The sequence below is a fragment of the Homo sapiens genome, chromosome 5, assembly GCF_000001405.40.
Source record: "Homo sapiens chromosome 5, GRCh38.p14 Primary Assembly".
NCBI classification, from domain to species: domain Eukaryota; kingdom Metazoa; phylum Chordata; class Mammalia; order Primates; family Hominidae; genus Homo; species Homo sapiens.
In genome coordinates, this window is record NC_000005.10 from 94,556,130 (window position 1) to 94,571,543 (window position 15,414).

General features: G+C 38.8%; 1 protein-coding gene and 3 pseudogenes across 33 annotated transcripts in view; 2 read left to right on the top strand and 2 right to left on the bottom strand.

Annotated features, from left to right (window-relative positions):
* The window catches only part of KIAA0825, a 467,754-nt gene that overhangs the window by 405,279 nt on the left and 47,061 nt on the right, over positions 1 to 15,414 (bottom strand). For 7 of the 33 annotated variants that reach the window (XM_047417110.1, XM_011543328.4, NM_001385723.1 and 4 more), the window contains one exon: positions 2,549 to 2,705. The exons of the other annotated variants lie outside the window; for them this stretch is intronic. The gene's annotated coding sequence lies outside the window, so the exon portion shown is untranslated. The remainder of the gene's footprint in view (positions 1 to 2,548; positions 2,706 to 15,414) is intronic. 33 annotated transcript variants of the gene reach the window in all.
* On the top strand, positions 11,329 to 12,808 carry MTND5P12 (MT-ND5 pseudogene 12; annotated as a pseudogene).
* MTND6P3 (MT-ND6 pseudogene 3) lies at positions 12,800 to 13,341 on the bottom strand (annotated as a pseudogene).
* Positions 13,411 to 14,547, top strand: MTCYBP35 (MT-CYB pseudogene 35; annotated as a pseudogene).

The window sequence follows — 15,414 nt, forward strand, 5'->3', positions numbered from 1 at the left end:
GTAACCTCCGCCTCCTGGATTCGAGCGATTCTCCTGCCTCAGCCTCCCTAGTAGCTGGGATTACAGGTGTGTGCCACCACACCCGGCTAGTTTTTGTTTTGTTTTGGTTTGGTTTGGTTTTTTGTATGCTTCATAGAGATGGGTTTCACCATGTTGGCCAGGTTGGTCTGGAAGTGATCCGCCTGCCTCGGCCTCCCAAAGTGCTGGGATTACAGGCATGAGCATGAGCATGAGCCACATGCCCCGCCAGATGTCAATTACATTTTAAAGAAACTCTCTTTTAATAACTTAATAACAATGATTTGAACTTAGCATGCACTTTGTATCAAAATGCTTTCTTCTAAAGGATTTAAAGTTCTTAAATTAAGTTCCAAGAGTTTAAAAATTTCTCCTAAAATGTTAATAGTATTAATTAGCAAGTCATATTAATGTGGTACTATTTTCCTAAAATATTGGTGACATTATTATTTAGCTTAACTTTAATTTGATTAAAACATCTACCCATTACAATACGCTTTTATGCCATCCAGAGCTTTGTTCCATGAATTATCACCAGTCTTGTATCATCAATATCCCTTTCAGCAGACTATAAACATGTCCAAGCTTCTTACTTTTTAGAAACCAGCAAAACCTACCCTAGTATCCCTTACTGTCATATCCCAGCTTCTCAAAATAGCAGTCTACATTTCCTGTGTTCTCACCTCTCATTTACTCCTCAACCCAGAGTAATAATTTCTGCCTCGAACCTTACACTGAAATTGACAAAATATTTTTCAGTTCCTATCACGCTTAATCTCTTTGCACTATTCAGTACTGACAGCTACTCCTTCCTTGAAATTGTCTCCTCTCTTGACAATCTTCCTAAATAGCACGCCTTCCTAGTTTTCCATCTTGTCACTCACACCATTTATCTGTTTACCAGGCTCCTGGTAGGAAACATCATTTTGGGTAGCTGGCCAGATCACATTTCTTTTTTAATTAATTAATTTATTTATTTATTTTGAGATAGGGTCTGGCTCTGTTGCCCAGGCCTAAGTGCAGTGGCACGATCACAGTTCACTGCAGCCTTGACCTCCTGGGCCAAGTGATCCTCCCACCTCAGACTCCTCCTAACTGGGACTACAGGCACGTGCTACCATGCCTGGCTAATTTTTGTAGAGATTGGGTTTTGCCATGTTGCCCAGGCTGCTTTCAAACTCTTGGGCTCAAGCAATCCACATGACTCAGCCTTCAAGGTACTGGGCTTATGGACGTGAGCCACCATGCAAGGCTCCTTTCTTTTTTTTTTTTTTTTAAATCAATTATACAACATACAGATATACAATGAGGGTCCATTTCTGTGTGATGGGATCTAACCCTAGTCATAATGGATTTAGGGTTAGACCATTATGAGAGACAGGACTAGCTGGATTTCCTAAGTTGACTAAGAATCCCTAAGCCTAGCTGGGAAGGCGACCACATCCACCTTCAAACATGGGGCTTGCAACTTAGCTCACACGTGACCAATCAGGTAGTAAAGAGAGCTCACTGAAATGCTAATTAGGCAAAAACAGGAGGTAAAGAAATAGCCAATCATCTATCGCCTGAGAGCACAGCAGGAGGGACAATGATCCAGATATAATCCCAGGCATTCAGCCAGCAATGGCTACCCTCTTTGGGTCCCCTCCCTTTGTATAGGAGCTCTGTTTTCACTCTATTAAATCTTGCAACTGCACTCTTTTCTGGTCCCTGTTTGTTATGGCTCGAGCGGTGCTTTTGCTCGCTGTCCACTACTGCCTTTGCTGCCATCACAGACCCGCTGCTAACTTCCATCCCTCTGGATCTGGCAGGGTGTCTGCCGTGCTCCTGATCCAGGGAGGCGCCCATTGCCGCTCCTGATCAGGCTAAAAGTTTGCCGTTGTTCCTGCACAGCTAAGTGCCTGGGTTCCTAATTGAGCTGAACACTAGTCACTTCGTTCCACGGTTCTCTTCTATGACCCACAGCTTCTAATAGAGCTATAACACTCACCGCATGGCCCAAGATTCCATTCCTTGGAATCCGTGAAGCTGAGAACCCCAGGTCAGAGAACATGAGGCTTGCCACCATCTTGGAAGCAGCCTGCCACCATTTTGGAAACAGCCCGCCACCATCTTGGGAGCTCTGGGAGCAAGGACTCCCTGGTAACACTTAGATGTATACTAAATGAATTTTGAAATTTGGAATGGAGGCAGGGATAAGACATCACTGGTGGTAAACCAGTCAAGTTAATTCCAGCCTCCCAAAAGCATGTGTATGAATGTTTTTTGGCTGAGGCCACTAGAACTGCAGTTTTTGCTCTTCCCTGATTACACACAAAGTTTTCATTAGGTTATGTGAGATACACACAATAAATCTTCTCCATGCTCCACTGCCCAACACTTACATTTTTTTCCCTTAAAGTAACCACAGTAGTTTTTTGTGTTAAATTAATAAATATTTTGATAGGCTTCTTTCCCATATCTGCCATTAAACACCAATATTCACCACAGGGTTCTCTCTAGACCTGTGATGAGGTTTAGGACATGTTACCGCAAAGTTTGGAGTACTCTGGCACTTGAGAAAACAGCAGAAACAGGAAAGTCTCTCTGACTTTCTTCCTCCCCTTCTTCTCTGAAGCAGATTGTAAAAGAATTCTCCACCTTCCACTGAAGTAGGTCATAAGACCTTCATTCCACAAGTGCATTCCCTATACCGGGAAGAAAGCAATGTCCTTATCTCTGAAGACACAGACACACAGAGAAGGATCATAACAAACAGATCTTGCTAAATTCCACCAATTTATTATTAGATCATAGCCTTTTGTCATCCATCATACTTCTGCATGACTGTCCATAAAAATACATAAGTTGTTCTGTTTCCTTAGGTCTTCATTTCTGAACGCTCCCATGTCATGTAAAACTTAATCAAATACATTTGTATGCTTTTCTCTTGTTAATCTGTCTTCTACTTACAGGATCCTCAGCCATGAAACTAAGATGGGAAGAAAGGATATTACTTTTTCTTCCCTACACGTGTATTCTTTTAAATACCTTTACTGAGCTTTCTTCAAGCAAATCAACTGCATTTTATATAATTTTACAAGAGTACTTTTATTTTATGTTTTCAATAAAACAATTTATATTGTTTTGGAAAATGTTGTAAAGGACTACAGGGTGCCAGGGAAGATCCCTTCTCTCCTAACTGTTGATCTTTACTATAGATTAACTTCCCTCTTACGTTTTCTATGCAAAGACTTCATGACTATCACACTGTCTAAGATGGAATGTTAAATACTCTCTTTAAAATAGGACACAAAATGAAAACAAGTTCTTTGGAAATGAAAACAAACTAACTAATTAAATTGTTGTAACTCATAAACCAGCCTTGTATAGAAAATGGAACAATCTTACTAAATATATTTTGTTTCCTACCTATATAAGCAAAACTTTAACTGATCCCATTTCCCTGGAGTCTGTGTTTCTTGGATGGCTACTCCCAGTTTTTCACTTGAATAAACTGTTTAAAACTGGATTATGATCCTTTTGGTCATTTCAGCTTGACACTATCATCTCTATGATGAAAATTCAAAGTCTCTATCTATAATTATAGTCCTTCCTCCAAAACTCCCATACATATTTCCAAGTACTTACCAGACAATTCCACATCACTGATTCGAAGGTTCTTTAAACTCATGATGGGGATCAAAATATTTTACCACAAAATATATTTCATATTTTGAGGTGGCTGTCAGAAGGCCGGGAAACAGAAATGGCCCTGCAAAGCTGTCTTTTTTGAGGAAAACATGCATCCATAAAGAATCTGCATTAATGCAGCCAGGCCTTCTCTTGTCTGGATCTAGGAAAGATTAACTCAGAGTCTGATACCTCTAAAAGTCTGAAAAGAAACATTTACCATTTTTTCTCTGAGGGCTGCTTCCTGTGAGGTTTCATCAACATAACAAGACCACCTTGGCTAGTCAAACCTCTTCTCTCCCTCCTATAACTTAATGTACCATCATAACCCATTCTTGGCCATTCTCTGAGCTGTCATTCTTTCTGTAACTACAAGATAGTATATAAGCTCTTATTGGGAGGGGTAGGGGTTCTGAAGGCTCTTGTATATACACAAAAATAAATTCATGTGTCTTTTCTCCCACTTATCTGCCTCATGTCAGTAATTATTTTCAGCAAACCTTCAGAGGGCCAACGAAAACTCAGTATGTCCAAAATTTAATTCAGAGTCTTTTCCTTACACTGGCTTCTCTTCCTACCTTACAGGATAACCATTTACCTAATTGCCCTGTTTCTTGCCCTAGTATCTTAAATCAAGTATCAGCAAACTATGACATGGCTTGCTTTTCTATGGCCTGATAGTTTTTACATATCTAATGAGTTGTAAAAATAAAAATCAAACAAAAAAGAATATGCTACAGAGGCCATATGTGTCCACAAATCCTAAAATATTTACTATCTGGCCTTTTGGTTATTTCAGTCATAATAGAAAATGTTCGCTGACCCCTGTTTTAAATGGTCACCAAGTTCTTGGATACTTTTTCTCCGTAAGATCTTAAATGGTCACCAAATGCTCTCAAAGATGACATTTACCTCCGTCTGCAACCAGTGTCGCAGATTTGGACATTATTTCTTGCTGAAAAACCTCCCATCTGACTTCCAAGACTCACATCTTGTGGTATAATTATATACATGTGCGCGTGTACGCACACAGCACACACACACGCACATATACACACATTTGGTTTTAACTCCTTTCCCCCTTCCTGGAACATAGCTCCAAAAACTCTTGGAATTTCCTGAGTGATTGAAATGTCTCTTGTTATTCACAGGTGATTTTATATTTATGAGGTTACTCTGGAGGGCCCCTAGAGAGCTTCAGGATGGGAGCTAGTCTAAAAAAACCAACCATTTGATTACTGCATTAACTTTCAGCTCCACTCCCTCTAACTCTAACCTCCAGAGACAGGAAAGGGACTTGGGATTGAGACCAATCACCTATGGCCAATGATTTAATCAATCGTGTCTACATAATGGATCCCAATAAAAATTCTTAAACAAGGAGGTTCAGGAAGTTTCCAAATTGGTGAACACATCCATGTCTTGAGAGGATGGCACACCCAGACAGGAAGTTCTGTGCCATAAACCTCTTCCTTACTTTATCTTATGCATCTCTCTCATTTGGCTGTTCCTACATTGTATCCTTTCTAATAAAACTGTATGTATACTGCTTCCCTGAGTTCCGTGCATCATTCTAATGAATTATTGAACTGTGGCAACCCCCAAATTTGTTGTCTTGTGGCAGAAGTGTGGGTCATCTGGGAAACCCACCTGCAGCTGGCACGTGAAGTGAGGGCAGTCTTATGGGTCTGAGCTCTGAACTTGTGGGGTCCTGGTAGTGTCAGAATTGAATTTGAATTGAATTGTAGGACACCCAGTTGATGTCTGTCTTGCATATGGACTCTACGCTTCTCATTTTATACATTTAATCTGATCATTTCACTACTCTGCTTAAATAAATAAACACAGGATTTTCCACAATGCATAGAAAAACTCATCTTGTTTTATATACATATAGTTCCTCATATTTAACTTAATTCCTATTCCAATTAAATAATTATATTTTTCTACTATAGCCCTTCTTGACTGACATCTTGAAATAGCCTTCTAGTCATAACTTCCTCTACACTAATAATGTTCTCAGTAGAAAATCATATTTATGAAAGGCATTTATTTCACCAATGTAGATAATACTATTTAAAGGCTATATATAACTATAATAACGTAACTTGAGTATTATTAAACAGAAAAAAGTCACCTACGAATGTGGCTTAAACAATTTTTAAATGGCTTTTAAACTATGTAAGCCATTTTTAAAAAATTGTGAAAGGTAGGAAGCTATCAATTAAAATTTAAATGTGATACCTTAAAATGCTTTTTAGTTTTCATCTACAAAAAAAGGATGTTAGATAAAAACAATTTTTAAGGACTCTCTAGTTTTAAAATTCTATGATTTAATCATGTGATCTACTTCTTTAATATTTAATCTTCTGTCATACAGCCTTTGTAGTATACTTTTTAATTCTATAGTTCAATAGAAGTATAATTTGTCAGTGGTTAAGACAAATTCATATGAAATAACTTGAAAATCTATTTTAAAAACAATCAATAAAAGTAAATTTTGGATTTCTTCAAATTAAATCTAAAAATCCATCACTATACTGGCTTTTTATTTTATTTGCTGCTTTACTTATCTCAACAGTGAATCTATCATATCAACATAGTCATCATGATCCAAGCTGCAAATAATAGAGAGTGTCAGTGTCAATTTTGCTTTCTCACACTTGCTTCCCTTCACTTCATCTGATTTTAATAATCCCTGTCAAACCACAAACAGTTCAAATTATCTTCATGACACAGAAGCTTTCAAGGAGCAGACAGAATCTCAACTTTCATTTAGCAACTACAAAAGAAAGCTGTCCAGCTGGACAAATATTATTTCCACACTTGACAATCTCTACAGTTAAGCATGCATTTTAATTTTAACTAAACCTGCCAGGAGTTTGATATGAGCTCCTTGTTGCGTGCAGATTGACTCACAGGATTATCAGACCAATGACTGTAATTGAGAGGAAAGAACCTAGCATTTATTTACTAACAGATGAATCACATACCAAAGCTGAGGGATCAAAATGAACATGTAAGAGATAGTATGTAGGTATAGACTGCAGGGGAGAAACTACTTAAATTAAGTGCTTTAACTATTAAATAAATTTTAAATATCTAGAACACATTCTTGACGTAATTCTGAAAAGTAACAGCTAATAAGTCAAATCATAAAACAGTTAAAATTTTACCCGTAGACACTATTGAGAAACAGGTTCTAAGATGAAATCTAAAGAGATTTTAAAAGGTGTTTTGAGCTGGGCACGGTAGCTCACGCCTGTAATCCCAGCACTTTGGGAGGCCGAGGTGGGTGTATCACAAGGTCAGGAGATCGAGACCGTCCTGGCTAACACGGTGAAACCCCATCTCCACTAAAAATACCAAAAAAAACAAAAAAAAAAAAATCAGCTGGGCGTGGTGGTGGGCGCCTGTAGTCCCAGCTACTCCGGAGGCTGAGGCCAGGGAATGGCGTGAACCCAGGAGGCGGAGCTTGCAGTGAGCCGTGATCGCACCACTGCACTCCAGCCTGGGCAACAGAGTAAGACTCCGTCTCAAAAAAAAAAAAAAAGATGTTTTGGATTCACTCAACTTCAAAGTCAGATTTCTAGAAAAGTTCTATATGTCAATTATAGTGAAACTGATGTTCTTGACAGGTTATCAAAGTCCACTCAATATAGATCAATATGCCCTTGTACACACAATATAAAACTAAAAAAAAGTTCACAGTAAAAATAAATAATAAGTTGTAGAGAAATATTAGAATAAAAGTTACAGTGTAAAACTATAACAATGACAATTGTATCTTTGAAGTTTAATTTATTAAAGTTAAATCTAAAACTTTCCAACTGTAAAACATTTCTGTGAGCATTGCCTTTTTTAAATTTTTTTTATGTTTTTTGAGACAGAGTTCCACTGTTTCACCCAGGATGGGGTGCAATGGTGCAATCTCGGCTCACTGCAACCTCCACCTCCCGAGTTCAAGCAATTCTCCTGCCTCTGCCTCCTGAGTAGCTGGGATTATAGGCGCCTGCCACCATGCCCAGCTAATTTTTGCATTTTTAGTTCGAGATGGGGTTTCACCATGTTGGCAAGACTGATCTCGAACTCCTGACCTCAAGTGACCCACCGCCTCAGCCTCCCAAACTGCTGGGATTACAGGCGTGAGCCATAGTGCCTGCCCTGAGCATTTCCTTTATAAGTTAGGCCTGAATTCCTCCTAAAGTTATCAGAACCTCAAAATTATCTGATGTCAGTCTTCCCTCCAACCTCCTATACTTGACACTAGTTCCGCTTTCTTTCTTCCCCAAAGGCTAATCCATTGGCTCTCAGAGCACTGTTTTTCTACCATTTCTATCTTGAATACCACAACTCAGGTTCCTTTACCAGCTCTTTTTCTTTCTATTCCCCTTGTTTTTTTTTTTTTTTTTTTGCAGACAAGGTCTCATTCTGTCACCCAGGCTGGAATGGCATGATCATAGCCTACTGCAGCCTTGACCTCCTGGGCTCAAGGGATCCTCCCACCTCAGCCTCCCAAGTAGCTGTGACTACCGGCATGAGCCACCATGCCTAATTTTTGAATTTGTGTGTGTGTGTGTGTGTGTGATGGAGATGAGGTATCGACTACCGGCATGAGCCACCATGCCTTATTTTTGAGTGTGTGTGTGTGTGTGTGTGTGTGTGTGATGGAGATGAGGTATCGACTACCGGCATGAGCCACCATGCCTTATTTTTGAGTGTGTGTGTGTGTGTGTGTGTGTGTGTGTGTGTGTGTGTGTGTGTGATGGAGATGAGGTATCCCTACATTGCCCTGACTGGTCTCTAACTTCTGGCTTCAAGCGAACCTCTTGCTTCAGCCTCCCAAAATGCTGGGATTACAGGCACGAGCAACTGCTCCTGGGCTACTACTTGTTACAAGAGTAGGTTAGAGTCTGTTTACATATCCAGTTAGGTTACTGTTCACTATGTATGAGGAAACCGAATTTAAAATATGTAAGAAGGCAGCTTTAGGTTCAACTTATCCCTGTGCAGGGTTCAAACCCCATCATCTGGATTAGTGCAGCAGTTTTCTAAATCTTTCTTTTATTTTCTCTTTTCTTTTCTTTTTTCTTTTCTTTTCCTTCCATCCTTCCCTTCCCTCCCTCCCTTTTCTTTTCTTTTCTTTTCTTTTTCTTCTCTTCTCTTCTCTTCTCCTCTCTCTCTCTCTCCCTCTCTCTCTCTCTCTCTCTTTCTTTCCTCTCTCTCTCTCTCTCTCTTTCTTTCCTGTCTCTCTTTCTCTCTCTTTCTTGCTTTCCTTTTTTTTTTTTTTTTTTGGTAGAGATGAGGTCTCACACTGTTGTCCAAGCTGGTCTCGAACTCCTGGCCCAAGGGAACCTCCTGCTTTGGCATGCCAAAGTGTTGGGATTATAGGTGTGAGCCACCATGCCTGGTCTCTCCCTGTTTTTTTGCAACATCACCTTCTAACTCATTCTCTATCTGCTGCCAGAATGATCTTTCTAAAACATAGGGAAAAAAAATCCATGTTTATAGCAGGATTTTAATTCCTTTTTTTTTTTTTTTGAGACAGAATCTCCTTTTGTTGCCCAGGCTGGGTGCAGTGGTGCAATCTCAGCTCACCGCAACCTCTGCCTCCCAGGTTGAGGCAATTCTCCTGCCTCAGCCTCCTGGATAGCTGGGATTACAGGCGCCCACCACCATATCTGGCTAATTTTTGTATTTTTACAAGAGATGGGGTTTCACCATGTTGGCCAGGCTGGTCTCAAACTCCTGACCTCAAGTGATCCACCCCCGTCAGCCTCCCAAACTGCTGGGATTACATGCCTGAGCCACCGCACCTGGCTGCAAAATTTTAACTCTGACTGGGAATAAAGTTAGACTCTTAAGAGAAAATCAGAAGAAGGTAGTTTGTAGTGGGGAAATAGTGTGTTCATTTCATTTTACTTTTAAAATTATTTTTAATTGATAAATTATAATTGAATATATTTATGGGCTACAAAGTGATTTTATGACATAGGTATACAGTGTGGAAAGATTGAATCAAGCTAATTAACATATCCATTGCCTTAAATACTTATCATTTATTCTTCCTGTCTAAATGAAACTTTATCCTTTGACCCATATCTCTCCATTCTCCCCATTCCCCAGGCTCTTGTAAACATCGTTCTACTGTCTGCTTCTATCAGTTCAATTGTTTGAGATTCCACATATAAGTGAGAACATGCCATATCTATCTTTCTGTTCCTGGCTTATTTCACTTAGTGTAATGTCCTCCAGGTTCATCCATATTGTTGCAAATGACAGAATTTCCTTTTCTAAGGCTGAATAGTATTCCATTGTGTATATATACCATATTTTCTTAATCCATTAATCTGTTAATGGACACTGAGGTGGTATGTTCATTTTAGAATAATGACTTTGAAATACAAGAAATATATCTAGGAAGCACTTAGAAAAGGGGAAACTGAACGTGAGAAGGAGGGAATGAAGCATATTTACATAAAATGTCCATATAAATTATCATCCAAATCAGGACTTTTTTGAGATTAAAAAGCAGGTACCAAAAATTATTAAAATTATATGATTTTTGAAACACATATTACTAACCAGTTAAACAGTTTTATATAATTGCTGACCTACAAACTAATTACATTGAAACACTATTTTTAAAAATAATATTCTTTCAAAAAATTTATATCTTTGCTTTCAAAAGTAAAAACATCTTTATATTGCTTGAAAAATAAATAATGATTCTTGATATATTTTTGCATACTTTAATGAGTTTCTTAGCTGTATCTGTCATCCACAGATATTTCTTGAAAAATGCATTTTAAAAATATGACTATTCTTTTTATATTTTTCCAAGTTTCATTTTATAGTTAGCAAATTTTAAATTGTTCATACCATGAATAGACTCTTCTATATAGATTATAATATTTTTAATTGAGAAAATACTCTCTCTCAGGTGATAAGCTACTTGGTAAATTTATTAAGTTCAGAGTAAATTTTGCTAGATGAAGTACATTCTCAATTTTAATTTTTAGTAATGAAATACATAAATATTTTAGCTCAAATATTTTTACAGGTACTATTTTTTTTGGCCTCCATGCAGATTGCATTTCTTTGACCAAAAATTTTAAAAGACAAAACTCATCAAATAAATGTTAATGATTATTTTGAACGGTTTGCTAAATTTAAGTGCTGCAAAACCATAACCTTTCTCAGTTTAACATCATTCTGGATCAGAATGTAAATGTATCCAATAGAAAACTTCATCTCTATCAAAAGATTTTCCCCATAAGTCTTGGGCATTTCAAAGCGTAATTGGGAATTTCACAATTAAATCTTGCATGTAATTTGAGTGCTTATCATTGTTCAATTGTCCCTTTGATTTCATGAGGATATATTTCAATATCCTCCCATTTGCAAGGTTTGTTTTCAATAATTGCAATTCCTTAAAAGCTTAACATAAGCTGAATATTTTGCCCTCCATTTGTTGAATGCTTTGACTAAATATTTCTAATGGATTCTGAAGAAACTGCGGCCAAAATTTAGAGGTCATTTTTACAAAAATGTTTAATACCATGATGGAACACTTAAGTTGATTTACAAAGTCTCAGACATTTCTAAAATCCAAAAAGAAAGTGCATAGTGTCATACTCAGACCCAAACATTAATCAATTTTTCAAATATCTACTTATTTTCCTAATCACCATACTAATTCTAGTCACCGCCAACAACCTATTTCAACTCTTCATCGGCTGAGAGGGCGTAGGAATCATGTCTTTCCTACTCATCGGTTGATGGTATGCTCGAACAGATGCCAACACAGCAGCCATCCCAGCAATCCTATACAACCGTATTGGCGACATTGGCTTCATCCTAGCCCTAGCATGATTCCTCCTACACTCCAACTCATGAGAACCACAAGAAATACTCCTCCTAAACACTAACCCTGACTTTATTCCACTACTAGGTTTCCTCTTAGCAGCAGCAGGAAAATCAGCTCAATTAGGTCTTCATCCCTGACTCCCCTCAGCCATAGAAGGCCCTACCCCCATCTCAGCCCTACTTCACTCAAGCCCCATAGTTGTAGCTGGGGTCTTTCTACTCAACCGCTTCCACCCCTTAGCAGAAAATAACCCACCAATCCAAACTCTCACACTATGCCTAGGCGCCACCACCACCCTGTTCGCAGCAGTCTGTGCTCTTACACAAAATGACATCAAAAAAATCGTAGCCTTCTCTACTTCAAGCCAATTAGGACTCATGGTAGTCACAATCGGCATCAACCAACCATACCTAGCATTCCTACACATCTGTACCCATGCTTTCTTCAAAGCCATATTATTTATATGCTCCGGATCCATTATTCATAACCTCAACAATGAACAAGACATTCGAAAAATAGGAGGACTACTCAAAATTATACCCCTCACTTCAACCTCCCTCACCATTGGCAGCCTGGCACTTGCAGGAATGCCCTTCCTCACGGGCTTCTATTCCATAGACCTCATCATCAAAACCGCAAATATATCATACACCAACGCCTGAGCCCTATCTATTACTCTCATCGCCACTTCCCTAACAAGCGCCAATAGCACTCGAATAATTCTCCTCACCCTAACAGGCCAACCTCGTTTCCCAACCCTAACCAACATCAACGAAAACAACCCTACCCTGCTAAGCCCCATCAAACGCCTAACAATCGGAAGCCTATTCGCAGGATTTCTCATCACCAGCAACATTTTCCCCACATCCATCCCCCAAATGACAATCCCACTTCACTTAAAACTCACAGCCCTAGGCATCACCTTCCTAGGACTTCTGACAGCCCTAGACCTCAACTACTTAACCAACAAACTCAAAATAAAAAACCCACTGTGTACATTTCACTTTTCCAACATACTCGGATTCTATCCCTGTATTATTCACCGCACAATCCCCCACCTAAGCCTTCCCATAAGCCAAAATTTATCCCTACTTTTATTAGACCTAACTTGACTAGAAAAACTAATACCTAAAACAACCTCACAGTACCAAACCTCCGCCTCCATCATCACCTCAACTCAAAAAGGCATAATCAAACTTTACTTCCTCTTTCTTCTTCCCACTCCTCCTAACCCTCCTCCTAATCACATAACCTGTTACCCCGAGCACTCTCAATTACAATATATACACCAACAAACAAGGTTCAACCAGTAACTACCACCAATCAATGCCCGTAATCGTATAAAGCCCCCGCACCAATAGGATCCTCCCGAATCAATGCTGGCCCCTCCCCTTCATAAATTATTCAACTTCCTACACTATTAAAATTCACCACAATCACCACCCCATCATATTTTTTTACCCATAACACTAACCCCACTTCTATTGCTAATCCCACTAAAACACTTACCAAGACCTCAATCCCTGACCCCCATGCCTCAGGATACTCCTCAATAGCTATTGCTGTAGTGTACCCAAAAACAACCATTATACCCCCTAAATAAATTTAAAAAAACCATTAAACCTATACAACCTCCCCCATAATTTAAAATAATGATACACCCAACCACACCACTAACAATCAACACTAAGCCCCCATAAATAGGAGAAGGCTTAGAAGAAAACCCCACAAACCCCATTACTAAAACCACACTTAACAAAAATAAAGCATATGTCATTATTCTCGCACGGACTACAACCACGACCAATGATATGAAAAACCATCGTTGTATTTCAACTACAAGAACACTAATGACCCCAACACGCAAAACCAACTCGTTAATAAAATTAATTAACCACTCATTTATTGATCTCCCCACTCCATCTAACATCTCCACATGATGAAACCTCGGCTCACTTCTTGGCGCCTGCCTAACCATTCAAATGATCACAGGACTATTCCTAGCCATACACTAATCACCAGATGCTTCAACCGCCTTCTCATCAATCGCCCACATCACCTGAGACGTAAACCATGGCTGAATCATCCGCTACCTCCACGCTAACGGTGCCTCAATATTCTTCATCTGCCTCTTCCTACACATCGGCCGAGGCTTATACTATGGCTCATTCCTCTACCTAGAAACCTGAAACATTGGTATTATCCTCTTATTCACAACCATAGCAACAGCCTTCATAGGCTATGTCCTCCCATGAGGCCAAATATTCTTCTGAGGAGCCACGGTAATTACGAATCTATTGTCCGCCATTCCATACATCGGAACAGACCTAGTCCAATGAGTCTGAGGTGGCTACTCAGTAGAAAGACCCACCCTCACACGATTCTTTACCTTCCACTTCATTCTGCCCTTTATTATTACAGCCTTAACAACCCTACACCTTCTATTCCTACACGAAATAGGATCAAACAATCCCTTAGGCATCCCCTCCCATTCCGACAAAATTACCTTCCATCCTTACTACACAACCAAAGACATCCTAGGCCTATTCCTTTTCCTCCTCACCCTATTAACACTAGTACTATTCTCACCAGACCTCCTGGGCGACCCAGACAACTACACCCTGACTAACCCCCTAAACACCCCACCCCACATCAAACCCGAATGATATTTCCTATTCGCCTACGCAATTCTCCGATCCATTCCCAATAAACTAGGAGGCATTCTAGCCCTTCTACTATCCATCCTCATCCTAGCAGCAATTCCTATACTCCACATATCCAAACAACAAAGCATAATATTTCACCCATTAAGCCAATTCCTATATTGATTCCTAGCCACAGACCTTCTTACCCTAACCTGAATTGGAGGACAACCAGTGAACTACCCCTTCACTACCATCGGACAAGTAGCATCCGTACTATACTTCACGACAATTTTAATCCTCATACCAGCCACCTCCTCAATCGAAAATAAAATACTCAAATGGACCTGCCCCTGTAGTATAAACCAATACACCGGTCTTGTAAACTGGAAATGAAGACTTCCTTCCAAGGACAAATCAGAGAAAAAGTACTTGACTTCACCATCAGCACCCAAAGCTAAGATTCTAATTTAAACTACTCTCTGTACTTTCATGGGGAAGCAAATTTGAGTACCACCCAAGTATTGACCCACCCCATCAATGGCCACCATGTATATCGTGCATTACTGCCAGCCACCATGAATATTACCATGTCATACTTAGTTATTTTTGTTTTATTCAACTTCAGTCTAATCATGAACATTTATAGGCTGTTTACCTTGTATATGTATAATCATATTTGTACTTGACAACTACATCTTCCACTTGGATTGGTAGAATATTGCAGATTTTGGGGATGTAATTATGAATTACTGTGTGCATTACAACATATTTCAAGTATAGTTTTCCCCACAGGTTCTAAATTTGCTAAAAGAAGGCATTTATATGATGTTGTGTTCCACAACAATATATTTTTAATAGTACCAAGAGAAAATAATTTTATCATTGATGTTGCAGTTTGTAACTTAATTTACAATAATATTCACAATACTGTCAAGTGTTTCAACTTCAACAGAATGAACTTTCAAATGGTTTACTTTGATTTAAGGAATTAGATAAGAAATTTGAACCATTATTATTGGAATTAATTGATTTTCTACATTTAGAAGTATCCAGTAATACTGACGTACAACTGACATAATTTAATGATTGAAGTTCTTCTAATGGAGTGAATACATTAACAGCTATTGTTTCACTTTTCACACATGCACAAGAAAACTTGAAACTAAAAATAAAAGAAATTAATTCAGAACAGTCACTTGATCTAAATGA